Source organism: Homo sapiens, chromosome 3 (genome assembly GCF_000001405.40).
Source record: "Homo sapiens chromosome 3, GRCh38.p14 Primary Assembly".
Classification (NCBI taxonomy): domain Eukaryota; kingdom Metazoa; phylum Chordata; class Mammalia; order Primates; family Hominidae; genus Homo; species Homo sapiens.
The window spans coordinates 50,316,154-50,329,288 of record NC_000003.12 but is presented as its reverse complement, the minus strand read 5'-3'; the positions used below and the strand labels follow the sequence as shown (position 1 = coordinate 50,329,288).

Here is a 13,135-nt window from a genome sequence, read left to right as displayed (position 1 = left end):
GTGGGCGCTTGTAGTCCCAGCTACTCAGAAGGCTGAGGCAGGAGAATCGCTTGAACCCGGCAGGCAGAGGTTGCAGTGAGTGGAGATCACACCACTGCACTCCGATAGAGCAAGACTCCAACTCAAAAAAAAAAAAAACGGCCGGGCGCAGTGGCTCAGGCCTGTAATCCCAGCACTTTGGGAGGCCAAGGCGGGTGGATCACCTGAGGTCCGGAGTTCAAGACTGCCTGACCAACATGGTGAAACCCCGTCTCTACTAGAAATACAAAAAAATTAGCCGGCATGGTGGCAGATGCCTGTAATCCCAAGTACTCGGGAGGCTGAGGCAGGAGAATCGCTTGAACCCTGGAGGCAGAGGCTGCAGTGAGCCGAGATCGTGCCACTGCACATTATCCTGGGCGACAAGAGTGAAACTCCATCTCAAAAAAAAAAAAAAACAAAACCATCCCTTCAACACACACACACCACGCTCTGGGAGAAGGTGTGGCATAACTCCTTCACCAAATACAGAGCTGCCACCGTGGACCAGACACTGCTCGTGATACCGAGGGTATAGCTGTTAACAATTCTTGCTTTCATTAAGCATGGACTCTGCTGGGTTTGAAAACACTGAATTCGAAGTTCTTCAGAACTGAATGTAACTATGTGAATCTGGCCAGTTCCTTAATTTTCTTTCAACTTGGTTAGTTCACATAAGCGTGGCAATCGCAAAAATACAGCTGTGAAAATAGAAGCCAGATGGGCACCCGGCGGTCTGGCCTTAGGCCCTGAAGTGCAGGTTTGAGGATTGGTGCTTGCGAAGTCCTGCTAGGCCTGAACTCAGGTGTTGGGGGACGTCAGAGCCGCCAAATACACCCAAAAGACCGGGAGGACTCACGGCCACCACTTTCCTCGGTGGGAGCTGTCCCAGCTGGTCAGATCGCGCTTGCTGGGACCTGGGATCTCGCAACGCATGCTGGGATGCCCAGCATCTAAGGGCGCCCATTGGTCCCGCCCCCACGACTTGAGCAACAGCCAATCAGAGGTGGCAGCGTGCGGAAGCGGAAGTGAGGTTTCCGTGGAGACAGCCGAGCCTGCGGAAGGCGGCGGCGGCGGCACCTGCGATCAGCGGCTGGGGCAGGTTATGGTAGTGCGGACTGCGGTGTGAGCAGAGCGGCCACGGGGCCCGCCATGCGCCGGCGGCCCTGACATGGGCGCCAGCGGGTCCAAAGCTCGGGGCCTGTGGCCCTTCGCCTCGGCGGCCGGAGGCGGCGGCTCAGAGGCAGCAGGAGCTGAGCAAGCTTTGGTGCGGCCTCGGGGCCGAGCTGTGCCCCCCTTCGTATTCACGCGCCGCGGGTAAGGGCATGGGTTCCACCCTGGCGGGGGGAACAGGCGGGCGGCCAGGCGTCCCGCGCCACGGGGGAACTTCCACCGCTGTACCCCACTACAGCCAAGCCAGGACGACCCCCATATTTTGAGCCTCATTGGAGCTGGGGGTGGAGAAAGCCGGGCAGTGGTCTCCTGGCGGCCTGGCCACTCTGAAAGTCTCCCTAGGGAAGAGTGGGCCTGAGGCTTGTCACTGGTCGGACCTTCCGCACGGTAAAGCTAAGCTAGGGCCTCCATAAGACCTCCATAAGATCTCTTCCTTTCATCCCTTCCGGCTCAGCCTGCATACTGAAGGGTCCTAGCCTCCCTTTCCCCCCCAGTTATTCCAAGGGGATAATAACCCTCTGTTTAGGCTGCTTTTCCTGACAGTAGTGGGGCTGAACCTTTGAGCGTAGTGGCTGGGAAAGCAGGGATAGGCCTCAGTATTGGGGGTGAGGCTGAGGAAAAAAGACCCTCACCCAGTTATGTTCTCCAGATCCAGAGCGCTGACCTACCCACCCAACCCCCAGCCCAGTCTCCCAGAGGCCCGCACAAGAGTACCAGATTGGCTTGGCTCTAGTGGGCTCCTGGAGATGGGCGCTCCCTGTGCTAGAGATTTGGCTGTAGACACCAGGAAGACCCAACAGTGGCAATTCACCAGCCACCTGGGGTGTGGGGTCAGGGGAGACGCAGCCTTCATTCCTTTGTGCTTCTTCCTAGCTTAGGCTTCTGCTATTTCAGTCTTTGACACTGGGCCAGCAGCATCTTCTGGAGTGAGACCAACATGCCCAGGCCACCACCCTGCCCACTCTAGAAGTCCTGGGTGAAGGCAAAGTCCTGATATTAGAATGGCTGCCCTTGCTGAACAAATCAAGGATGAGAACTGGCCTTGGTGGCTGCCTGGATGGTGTGCTCTGGTGTGGGCTCTCTTCTTGGGGGTCTGACATAGTAGCACTGCCCACCCATCACCTCACTTCCCACTTTCTTCTAGTAGACCCCAAACCCCAGGCAAAGGATTCTCCAGGCAGGCCAGGCACCGTGGCTCACGCCTGTAATCCTAACACTTTGGGAGATGAAGACGAGTGGATTGCCTGAGTTCAGGAGTTCGAGACCAGCCAGAGCAACATGGCAAAACCCCGTCTCTACTAAAATACAAAAAATTAGCAGGGTGTGGTGGTGCATGTCTGTAGTCCCAGCTACTTGGGAGGCTGAGGCAGGAGAATTGCTTGAACCCAGGAGGCAGAGGTTGCAGCAAGCTGAGATCGCGCCACTGCACCTCCAGCCTGGGCAACAGAGTGAGATTCTGTCTCGAAAAATTTTTTTTAAAAAAAGGATTCTCCAGGCATATTATCCTCTTTTCTTCCCACTTGGGGTTGGGAAGACCACAGACTTCCCCGTGACCTGTGACATTTGCCATGCCCAGGTGTGGGGCTCCAGCCCAGCCTGTTTCCTTCTCCCTCTACACAGCTCTATGTTCTATGATGAGGATGGGGATCTGGCTCACGAGTTCTATGAGGAGACAATCGTCACCAAGAACGGGCAGAAGCGGGCCAAGCTGAGGCGAGTGCATAAGAATCTGATTCCTCAGGTGAGGGGCTGGGCAGCGGTCACAGAGCCTACACTAAGCGTGTGGAGGTGGACCCAGATGGGATCTGTTGTCATGGTGGGGGCTTTTGCGGGGGGATCTGGGAGGAACAAGGAAGCTTCCTGAAGTAGAGGCCCTGAGCTGACCCTTACTAGCCTCTGTTTCCATGGCAGGGCATCGTGAAGCTGGATCACCCCCGCATCCACGTGGATTTCCCTGTGATCCTCTATGAGGTGTGACCCTGGGAGGTGGCAGACAGAAGCACCCCCTGCCCCGGCAAGAAACTCCCAGGCTCAATCAAGGTGTGGCTTCCATTGAGGAGCCCAGGCTGGGGCCACAACCCTGAATAAACTCTGTTGGCCCATAACCTTCAGCTGTGAGCGGGTCGGTCCCACAGTATTGGTTGGGTGTTGGTTTGTGTGTGGACAAGAGGTGGTTGGTGGGTGGTGAAGGCTAATGGCAGAGTTAGCACCCCACTCTCCCAAGCCACCCCTGCAAGCAGCACAGCAGGGCATATACCAGTCAGGAATGCCCGTTACCTGGTTCCTTGCCTGGTCTGCTTTCTTCCAAGTTTGCCTGGGGCCTAGCCCTGCTAGAGGCTACAGCACTTTACAAGCAAGGTATGCTTTCTTCCAGCCCCTAGGCTGTGGGCACTGTATACAAGTAGGAACTTCCTTTCCTTCACTTCCCTTTTAACCCCTAGTCAGAGCATTTCAGCCGTTTGCTACCTCGATTCCTCCTGTGTTGGACAGAGGCTGGGGGCAGTGCCAGCCTGATTCTTCCGACCTACCTGCCATTTGTTCCCGCCTTCAGATGGATGGACAGTTTGCTGGCTATTGATAGGAGTGGGGACTGGGTGGGGGCTTCTCCCTCTACCCAGGGCTGGGCTGATCCCCCTACTGCAACTAACTGTTGCCCCCCAACCCCGAACCCCCAGTTGAGGAGTTGAGAGAGTGCAGGCTGGGGTCAGGACAGGCTGCGGATGCTTGTGCCTATGGGGAGTTACTCCAACCCACCTATTCTGTCTAATCTCCATGGCTTTGCACCAAATCCTCCACCCCTCCAATTGGGAGGGGACTGTTCACCACCTTGTGGTAAGGGACAACACCCTAAGGCTGGTGCCAGTAGTTATGAGTAGCCTACCACCCCCTCCCTTACAGTAACCCCCACCCCTTCAGGATCAGTCAAGGGAAAGCACTAGAACCCCTGGGTAGGGAAAGAAAGGAGGGAAAAACCATAAAAGGAATACTTATAATGTGAAGGTTTGTAAATAGTCCATGATGATGTCGTGGCAGAGTCTGATTTCTATATAGAGGTGACTTTTTTTTTAAGTACTGTGCAAGCTCTGTGCTTCTATAATGTGGGAAATGGCTTGGGGAGGATGGCCCCTAGCTTAGGAAGACTGTTGTGTTATTTGTTCAATTTCAATAAAATGATTTGTAGATCCTGCACATGAGAGTGGCATCCTGTGGGGGCTCTGACACCCAGTGTCTAGACTACCACCTGGGTTCAATAGGTAGGCCTGGCACAGGACTCTGGCAGGCCCCCTATGACCAGCAAAGCCCAAGAGTAAGTCTGAGCCCAGCCTGTGGCCATCCCAACTGTGGCCAGCAGGTGGCTGTGTGTTCACACAGACCTCACTGCAGGCCCCCTGCAGGGTGGGAGGGCACTCATTTATCTGTTGTGATCCATGTGGTGGTGACCCTTGGAATCAGAAGGCCCTGGGATACTTCACTAAGGATTGGCCCCACCTGCCTGATCTAAGGTGAGAGAGTGTGACCCAAGATAGTTCTGGAATATCTGTCTTAGCTGTAGCATCGCCAGCTGATCCTAAGTGGGGTCATGGCCTGACCCCCATGGACCTCAAAGGCCCAGCTTTAATGGACAGCAGCCAGATAGGTGTCCCCACGCCTTTGGCCTACTGCCAGGCTCAGCAACCCAAACTCATGTGCCTCCTCTGAGGCCTGCCTGCGGACACCATGGGAGAATGAGCTCAGGCTGCTGTTTCAGCAAGCAAGGCTCGGCCCACTAGTATTGCCCCTGCTGTCTGTTGCCCCCATCTTCTCATCACCTGCAGCCTGCCCACTGTGGTCATTCTGCCTGCACTTCTCAGGGGCTGCTATAAGGCAGATTCTCTACTAGGCTTAGGCTTTGACTATCAGTCCAACTCCCAGTTAAAGAGGGGAGATTTCAGGGACAGGCTTCTGAGTGTAGGGAGCTGGTCTGCCAGTCTTTCGGAGGTTTGAACTTGTCAAGGCTAGGGCAGGATCACCATATCCAGCCTGGACTTGCAGTTCTGTGGGGTGCCTCCCCATACCCCCATAAGATGCCAAACATGAGGCCCTGTCATCCTCCATGGTCCCCCTCTACTGGCTGTTCAAGGCCCAGGGCTCTCCCATGCCAGATAGCATCCTGTCTCCTACCACCACTGTCCCAGCCTGAGGGAACTCCCTGTGCTGGGCCTACCCAGCTGACCCCATCGCTGGAAACAATGGGGGTCAGGCAACACTTCCCCACTCTCTCCCGCCGGGCTGTGCTCACTTCCTTCCTGCTGGCTGCCTGAGGAAGTGTCCCTGCCCTGGGACAGTCTGGCCTAGCCTTTGTTTCCCCGGGGGTCCCCACCCATGGAGCTTTCAAGGCTTCTGGCCCCTGTGAAGCCAGCACAGTGGTACAGGGACACTGCACCTTCCCCTACCATGTCTTGGACTCCTTGGTCCTCAGGGCCAGACTCCTGGGTATTCACCTACCCCTCACACAGCCTTCTGTTGGGGGAGAGGCTCCTGGGCATTGGGCCATTGGGTTGTTGAGGGGTTGGCTCTGGGTGATTTGAGGGTAGGTAGATTTGCACCCCTGGAGAGGTCTGCTGGAACCTTGCTGCAGTCCTCCCTAGGGCCAGCCACAGGAACACCCCTCCCAGAGGAGTATACCCCTTTCCTCATCCATGTTGTAAGGAGCCCCCTACTCTGTATAGTGGACTCTGAAATCCATCCAGGAATGAACTCCAGCAGGAAAGCACTCTGCAGAACCCTCCCAGTCCATCCCCTCCTCCCCAACCCACACAGTCACACTCACTAACACATTGTCCTGTCACACAGGATGCGGAAGCTCTCAGTGGAAAAAAACGGACTCAGCTACTGGAAGTCCCCCCGACCCTCCCCCCAAGGCTAGTTCCCTTCTTGGGCACCTGCTCTGGGGGACCATCAGCTGAACGACCCCCAAGTATTTTGACTCCCAAAAGCACCACCACCTGACCCCATCCTCTCACACCCTACTGGATTTGAGGATGGGCCCCAATCCTAGGGAAGGAGTGAAGAGGTTCCCTAGTGTTGGAAGCTGTGGGTGTGGGGGAGATTGGCACCTGATCCTGAGCCCATAGCCTTCCTGTCACCTGGCGCAGCTGGCGGGGCCAGATCCTACTCGGGAAGGGTGGGGAGGGCAGCCAGCCAGCAGGGCATTCTGGAGGGAAACAGGGTCAAGGCGATCTCCTCCCCCACGCCTGTTCCTGGCCCTTTCCTCTCAGGGGGCAGCAGGAAGTGAGGAGAAAGGGCTGGGATGGGAGGCGGGAGCGGATGGGAGGGAATGGGGTTTATCAAGTCCTCGGCGAGCTGCCCAACGGGCAGCAGCTGGCGCAAGTAGCCTAGCTGGAGAGGCTCACCCCAGGAAGGAGGGAGGCCACCGACCTACTGGGCCGACGGACTCCCACACAGGTGAGCCCAGAGCAGACGGCTGGTCTGCACCCCCACAGATGCGCTCGCAGTTGCACTCCCTCCCTCTCCTGGCGCCCGGGAGGGTTAGGGGCTGGTGGTGCAGACGCGGGCCCTTTTGGGAGTTGAGTCTCGCACAAGGGAGCGGACCTAGGAAGAGCCGAGGTGGTTTCGCACGGGGCTCGCCAGGGTCTAAGCCTGCCCCCCACCGGGAGAGGCCTGTGGAGCGTAGGGGGCGCTGGATACGGGATGGAGGCCCTGGGAGACCCCTCTTGCTGGCTTTCTCGGAGGTCCAGCCAGAAACTGCTGCAAGGAATGGAGGCCTCCTCGGGGTTGAGAGGGAGCCGGGCTCCCAAAGGACCTCAGAGACTGGGCAGAAAAGGACGGGATCTCAGGGATGACTGTCCCGCCCTGATGCGAGTCAGGGAGAGGGGCGGCCAACCTCCTAGACCCCTCTGAGCTTCCCTGACCCCAACCCTGCGGCCACGCCGCGACCCAGAGCCGGGCTGCCAGGATAACGACTGCCTCGGCCCTTCCTGGGCCGGCTAAGAAGCGGTGCTTGGCCCCTTCCCTCAGTCTGGCAGGGGGCGGGGCCTCCCTTTAGACGGCGGACCAGAGAAGGGGGCCCCTGATTCGTGGGAGGCGGGGCACTACTCTCCAGGAGACCAGAGGTCGCCTCAGGTCAAAGTCCCTTTTTCCACACAAAGGGGACCCACGGCTGGCGTCTACGTTAGGGGGTGCAGAGCCAGATCTGGTGCTGCCCCCTGCCAACCTCGGAGTACCACAGCACCTCCTGATGGCCGAACGGGGCAACGCCTCCTCCTATTCCCCCCCCCCCCCTTCCCGTCCCCCTGCCTTGTCCCTCACACTGTCTCTTTAAAGGGCTGGCGGCGCCGCGGAGCTGGGAGGACTGAACCACCGGCCTCGGGCTGCAGGGGAAACATTTCAGGCTGACTGGCGCTCGTGGCTGAGACTCCCATAGAAAGCCCGGCTCAGAGGGGCATTAGGGTCCTAAATGGGCGGCCACGTCCCTCTGCAGAGGACCTGGGGCTCTTCGAGCCCGAAACGAGGCACCGGCACCGAGAAAGGTGGACCACACCTTCCCGCCCCGTCCGCAAGTCCAATCCCGGGCCCACCTCCGCACTGGAGTCTTAAAGGGCCAGCGTGCCTGGGGGCGGAGCCAGCAGAGGCGCTGAGCCGGGCCGCGCCTGGGCGAACGGCCGGAGCGGGCTGGGCTGGGCCCGGGATGGCGGTGGCCCTGGCGCCGGTCCCGGTGGCGCCCCGCGCGAGGTGAGGGCGGGCGGTGCAAACCTGGCGGCTCTCTCCCCTTGGGCTGGGGTCTGAATCCCCGGGGGTGCTCGCGGAGAGGCGTCCCAGAAACCCCACCCCCACCCGACCGGGCGCAGGCCCCACGTGTGGGGCGGGGGCGGGGTCCCGCACAAAGACCCGGCGGAGCGCGCTCTAGCCCTGAGCGGCCGGGCGGGGGAGGCGAGCGCGCGCATTCCCGGTGGCGGTGGAGGGAAGGGCCGGGCGGCCGGCGCCGCCGTGGGAGGTCCGCTGCCCCTTTGTCCCTACGGGGCCTCCTCCAAGCCGGGAGAGTGTCAGCGCTCGAGAGAAAGTCCGGAGAGCCTCACTCTTCTGCCGGGCGAGTGTTACACGGATAGAAGCCTCCCGGCAGCGTTCCTTCCAGTTTCGTAGCCTCTTGACGAGCTGTTCCCTGCTTTACCCAAATGCTGTCGTTTCTCTGGATCAAGGGTTCTTCACGGTGTACAGGGTGGGCATCAGCTGTTCAGGGTTCTCTGAAACCATGTACTGGATGGTATGCAGGCATATATGTGACTCTGGTGAGCCCAAATTATCTAGTTCTTAGAAGGGTCACAGACCTAATAGAGATTTGTGCCGAGCCACAGGCTACCTGCTCCAGAAAAGAGCCCTGTGCTTCTGGCAGTGAGTTCCCAGGGTGCCTTGTCTGCCCTGCAGTGGCCTGTGGTCTCTCAAACCTATTACAGCCATGAGCACAGTGCCCCCACACAGCATGGGCTTTGGGAGCATAGATGGGCTTGAGGTGGGCACTTCCAGTATTCCCTAGACTGACTTGTTCTCCCCAACCCTTCTTCCAGTTCCTGAGCTGGTGCCAGGCAGGTGACACCTCCTGCAGCCCCCAGCATGCGGGCAGGCCCAGGCCCCACCGTTACATTGGCCCTGGTGCTGGCGGTGTCATGGGCCATGGAGCTCAAGCCCACAGCACCACCCATCTTCACTGGCCGGCCCTTTGTGGTAGCGTGGGACGTGCCCACACAGGACTGTGGCCCACGCCTCAAGGTGCCACTGGACCTGAATGCCTTTGATGTGCAGGCCTCACCTAATGAGGGTTTTGTGAACCAGAATATTACCATCTTCTACCGCGACCGTCTAGGCCTGTATCCACGCTTCGATTCTGCCGGAAGGTCTGTGCATGGTGGTGTGCCACAGAATGTCAGCCTTTGGGCACACCGGAAGATGCTGCAGAAACGTGTGGAGCACTACATTCGGACACAGGAGTCTGCGGGGCTGGCGGTCATCGACTGGGAGGACTGGCGACCTGTGTGGGTGCGCAACTGGCAGGACAAAGATGTGTATCGCCGGTTATCACGCCAGCTAGTGGCCAGTCGTCACCCTGACTGGCCTCCAGACCGCATAGTCAAACAGGCACAATATGAGTTTGAGTTCGCAGCACAGCAGTTCATGCTGGAGACACTGCGTTATGTCAAGGCAGTGCGGCCCCGGCACCTCTGGGGCTTCTACCTCTTTCCTGACTGCTACAATCATGATTATGTGCAGAACTGGGAGAGCTACACAGGCCGCTGCCCTGATGTTGAGGTGGCCCGCAATGACCAGCTGGCCTGGCTGTGGGCTGAGAGCACGGCCCTCTTCCCGTCTGTCTACCTGGACGAGACACTTGCTTCCTCCCGCCATGGCCGCAACTTTGTGAGCTTCCGTGTTCAGGAGGCCCTTCGTGTGGCTCGCACCCACCATGCCAACCATGCACTCCCAGTCTACGTCTTCACACGACCCACCTACAGCCGCAGGCTCACGGGGCTTAGTGAGGTATGTGTCTCCAGGGCCCTGCCTTTTTTCTCCTTCCTTGAGGATCCACTGCACATTTGGGTTATCAGGGGCCACTATAGGACTATACCTGTAGTTTATTGGCTGCTCCACATCCCCTCAAATCATTCTGTCTATAACCTGAAAGGGTGACATCATTATCCCCATTTTTCAGATGAGAACAATTGAGGCACAGCGATGCTGAGAAGTTTGCCCAAAGCTTCCCAGCAAATCCAGAGCAGAGCTGGGACTGGGGCCCAGGCCTTCTAACTTTGGAATCCATCCTGATAGCTGCACCTAGGCTCAAGTGTGCCCTTGGCTTGGGAAACTGAGCCCCAAAAGTGGGGTGGAAATGGACTTAAATGTTTAAAAAGGAAGCAAAACAAATGAGCCTCTGCCTGGACGTGAAATGGGGGTTGAGCTGGGAGTTCAGCAGGTTGAATCAGGCTGGGGTCTGCCCTCCTTGTCTGTTCCTGTCACCCTGTGGTCTCAGTCTTCCCCAGTGACCATCCCTTTTCCTGCATAGATGGACCTCATCTCTACCATTGGCGAGAGTGCGGCCCTGGGCGCAGCTGGTGTCATCCTCTGGGGTGACGCGGGGTACACCACAAGCACGGTAAGCGAGACCCAGCCTGCCAGAGCTCAGTCTATGGGACAGACAGAGAGTTAGGGCCTTTGGCTACCAACCTCAGGTGGGCAATCCTAGTCTGGTCCCCTTGTCTGTCTCCCACCCGAGGCATCCCTGGTGGCAACAGGAGGAGGTCACCCCGGCCCTGCTCTCAGGAAAGAGGAAATGCTGTCCTGAACAGCTGTTGAGTTCCGCCCTTCCCCATCTGCCCAACTGGGTTCCGGTCTGTACCCCCACCCACTTCTCAGCAGGAGCAGGGACTGTGTGGCTCAGGTGCAGATTGAATGTATGAATGTGTGCAGTTAAAATAAGGTATAGTCATCACAGTGTGGACACAGTTTCCATCTGGGCCTGTGGGCTGAGGCAGCTGACCCTGACCTGTGGTCCTTGTCTTCTGCCTCCAGGAGACCTGCCAGTACCTCAAAGATTACCTGACACGGCTGCTGGTCCCCTACGTGGTCAATGTGTCCTGGGCCACCCAATATTGCAGCCGGGCCCAGTGCCATGGCCATGGGCGCTGTGTGCGCCGCAACCCCAGTGCCAGTACCTTCCTGCATCTCAGCACCAACAGTTTCCGCCTAGTGCCTGGCCATGCACCTGGTGAACCCCAGCTGCGACCTGTGGGGGAGCTCAGTTGGGCCGACATTGACCACCTGCAGACACACTTCCGCTGCCAGTGCTACTTGGGCTGGAGTGGTGAGCAATGCCAGTGGGACCATAGGCAGGCAGCTGGAGGTGCCAGCGAGGCCTGGGCTGGGTCCCACCTCACCAGTCTGCTGGCTCTGGCAGCCCTGGCCTTTACCTGGACCTTGTAGGGGTCTCCTGCCTAGCTGCCTAGCAAGCTGGCCTCTACCACAAGGGCTCTCTTAGGCATGTAGGACCCTGCAGGGGGTGGACAAACTGGAGTCTGGAGTGGGCAGAGCCCCCAGGAAGCCCAGGAGGGCATCCATACCAGCTCGCACCCCCCTGTTCTAAGGGGGAGGGGAAGTCCCTGGGAGGCCCCTTCTCTCCCTGCCAGAGGGGAAGGAGGGTACAGCTGGGCTGGGGAGGACCTGACCCTACTCCCTTGCCCTAGATAGTTTATTATTATTATTATTTTGGGGTCTCTTTTGTAAATTAAACATAAAACAATTGCTTCTCTGCTTGGATTTTGTACCTGGGCTAAAGTGTATGCGAGATTCCAGAATTTCCCATGGGGTTTGAGCTCAGCTCTGTCTCTATGAAACCCTCTGCTGGGGACTTCTCGTGTAAGATGTATTCACCAAGACTTGGGGGCCCAGAGCTGCCCACTCTGGAGCTGTTCTGCTGGGGCAGGAGCCACCCCAGTGGGAGTGGAGGGACCCACATTCCATCCCAACACCAAGGACGTTGCTTTCTCCGTATTGGTTGCAAGGGAGTCAGGCCCCGCCTTGTGTGAGGGACAGGGCTCATTGTGTTTCTGCCACTTGCCCCTGTCCTCCCAGCTGGACCAGTGCCAGCCTCCTTGCCAACCCAAGGGAGAAACGTTTGATCTTCCCTGCTGTTCCCACAGGCAAGGGTGTCTCCTCCAGTCCCTGCTCCCAAGGGCAGTGGACACCAGCCACATACACCTCTCATCAGGGTCACAGCCCTCCCTCGGATCTGGTGGTGGGAGGTGGGCAGGGGATTGGGATCTGAATCGTGAGGTTCAGTCCCTGTCCCATTCTAGAGATGCCTGATGGGGCTGGGAGGTGGCATCTTGGGCCTGGGAGCAGGAACATCTTCTAAGGTCTGCTCCGTCCTGGCTGTGGGAGAGTATGGCTAGTCTCTGGCTGTCCCTGAGGAAAGAAGGAGCAGCTGGAGTTGTCAGACCAGCTCTGAGCTGCTTCACTAGCCCTGCCTCTGACGGGAGTGCATTCTGCCTCTCCCCTCAGCCAGCAACCCCACACCTGGGGTCCCGCCCATGTCCGTGATGACTCACCACGCAGCCCTGCTTCAGGAGGCTCTGGCTCTGGGGAGACAGACTCAAGAAGCCGTTGAGTGGTGAGGGCAGCCAGCAGCAGGGGAGCAGGGGTGGTGCCCTTGGAGATGCTTCCCACATTGGGTTCTAAAAGGTGAGGGCGGCAGCTCGATGCTCAGGAACAAATCCTGGGCAGAGGCTGGAGGAAGTTGGAGGTGGTGAAGGTGAACAGTTCAGGGCTGGGGTGTGGCTTAGTGGCTGCTGTGGGCAGAGGCAGGAGGGGCAGCCCTAGAGCAGCACCAGGCCTGACTTCACCTAATACTGACTTACTCATTCAGTAAACGCTGAGCACACAGTGTGCCTGTGCTGGGCTAGGTGCTGGGGATGCATCGATGATGCATCTATGAACCACACCAACAAAGACCCCCGTCCTTGTGGGAGTGACAAAATAGAGGTAGATGCACACTAGATGCAAAGACCGAGATGCCAGATGGGAGAAACAAGCCCGGCCAAGCCAGTGCCAACCCAGGCTGTAAAGATATCCTTCCCTCACCTCTTTCGCCGGTGATGGGTAGAGAATGGAGAGGAGAGAGTGAGGTGGTAACACTGGAAAGGTGACGTGGTAAATTCACACAGTGAAGGAGGAGGTGCACATACAAGTGGAGGGGTCCCAGGTGCTCATGGCCATGGTGGGGGGAGGCCAGGCTGGAGAGAAGATTCAGGTGTTGGTCAATAAAATGATGGGCCGGGTGCGGTGGCTCACCCCTGTAATCCCAGCACTTTGGGAGGCCAAGGCAGGTGGATCACTTGAGGCCAGGAGTTTGAGACCAGCCTGGCCAACATGCTGAAACCCTGTCTCTACTAAAAATACA

The 13,135-nt window shown here is 58.2% G+C and overlaps 2 protein-coding genes across 5 annotated transcripts, besides 7 other annotated features; both read left to right on the top strand.

Moving 5' to 3' along the window:
• Positions 822-931: an enhancer, noted in NCBI's record as "active region_19901". NCBI's record gives its function as "activates an Ori minimal core promoter by ATAC-STARR-seq in GM12878 lymphoblastoid cells {active_cell/tissue: GM12878}" and the evidence as "EXISTENCE:reporter gene assay evidence [ECO:0000049][PMID:35858748]".
• Positions 1,066-4,380, top strand: TUSC2 (tumor suppressor 2, mitochondrial calcium regulator). Its single transcript, NM_007275.3, has 3 exons — positions 1,066-1,335; positions 2,812-2,932; positions 3,103-4,380. Exons 1-3 carry the CDS (start codon positions 1,190-1,192, stop codon positions 3,166-3,168), a joined length of 333 nt encoding a protein of 110 aa, NP_009206.1. The 5' UTR covers positions 1,066-1,189; the 3' UTR covers positions 3,169-4,380.
• Positions 4,452-4,641: a silencer, noted in NCBI's record as "silent region_14392". NCBI's record gives its function as "represses an Ori minimal core promoter by ATAC-STARR-seq in GM12878 lymphoblastoid cells {active_cell/tissue: GM12878}" and the evidence as "EXISTENCE:reporter gene assay evidence [ECO:0000049][PMID:35858748]".
• Positions 4,850-5,351: an enhancer, noted in NCBI's record as "H3K4me1 hESC enhancer chr3:50361369-50361870 (GRCh37/hg19 assembly coordinates)". NCBI's record gives its function as "activates a minimal SCP1, AML or CMV promoter by ChIP-STARR-seq in primed H9 embryonic stem cells {active_cell/tissue: H9 hESC(primed)}" and the evidence as "EXISTENCE:reporter gene assay evidence [ECO:0000049][PMID:30033119]".
• Positions 6,134-6,807: an enhancer, noted in NCBI's record as "H3K27ac-H3K4me1 hESC enhancer chr3:50359913-50360586 (GRCh37/hg19 assembly coordinates)". NCBI's record gives its function as "activates a minimal SCP1, AML or CMV promoter by ChIP-STARR-seq in naive and primed H9 embryonic stem cells {active_cell/tissue: H9 hESC(naive and primed)}" and the evidence as "EXISTENCE:reporter gene assay evidence [ECO:0000049][PMID:30033119]".
• On the top strand, positions 6,544-11,481 carry HYAL2 (hyaluronidase 2). 4 transcript variants are annotated; one of them, XM_005265524.3, is made up of 5 exons: positions 6,544-6,636; positions 7,516-7,721; positions 8,754-9,720; positions 10,244-10,333; positions 10,750-11,481. In XM_005265524.3, the coding sequence occupies exons 3-5, from the start codon at positions 8,800-8,802 to the stop codon at positions 11,158-11,160; spliced, it is 1,422 nt and encodes a 473-aa protein (XP_005265581.1). In that variant the 5' UTR covers positions 6,544-6,636; positions 7,516-7,721; positions 8,754-8,799; the 3' UTR covers positions 11,161-11,481. The 4 variants fall into 4 exon arrangements, with proteins under 4 accessions (XP_005265581.1, NP_149348.2, NP_003764.3 ...); NM_033158.5 differs by having other exon boundaries at positions 7,516-7,923; NM_003773.5 differs by lacking the exon at positions 7,516-7,721.
• Positions 7,441-7,780: an enhancer, noted in NCBI's record as "active region_19900". NCBI's record gives its function as "activates an Ori minimal core promoter by ATAC-STARR-seq in GM12878 lymphoblastoid cells {active_cell/tissue: GM12878}" and the evidence as "EXISTENCE:reporter gene assay evidence [ECO:0000049][PMID:35858748]".
• Positions 7,801-8,240: a silencer, noted in NCBI's record as "silent region_14391". NCBI's record gives its function as "represses an Ori minimal core promoter by ATAC-STARR-seq in GM12878 lymphoblastoid cells {active_cell/tissue: GM12878}" and the evidence as "EXISTENCE:reporter gene assay evidence [ECO:0000049][PMID:35858748]".
• Positions 8,836-9,509: an enhancer, noted in NCBI's record as "H3K4me1 hESC enhancer chr3:50357211-50357884 (GRCh37/hg19 assembly coordinates)". NCBI's record gives its function as "activates a minimal SCP1, AML or CMV promoter by ChIP-STARR-seq in naive H9 embryonic stem cells {active_cell/tissue: H9 hESC(naive)}" and the evidence as "EXISTENCE:reporter gene assay evidence [ECO:0000049][PMID:30033119]".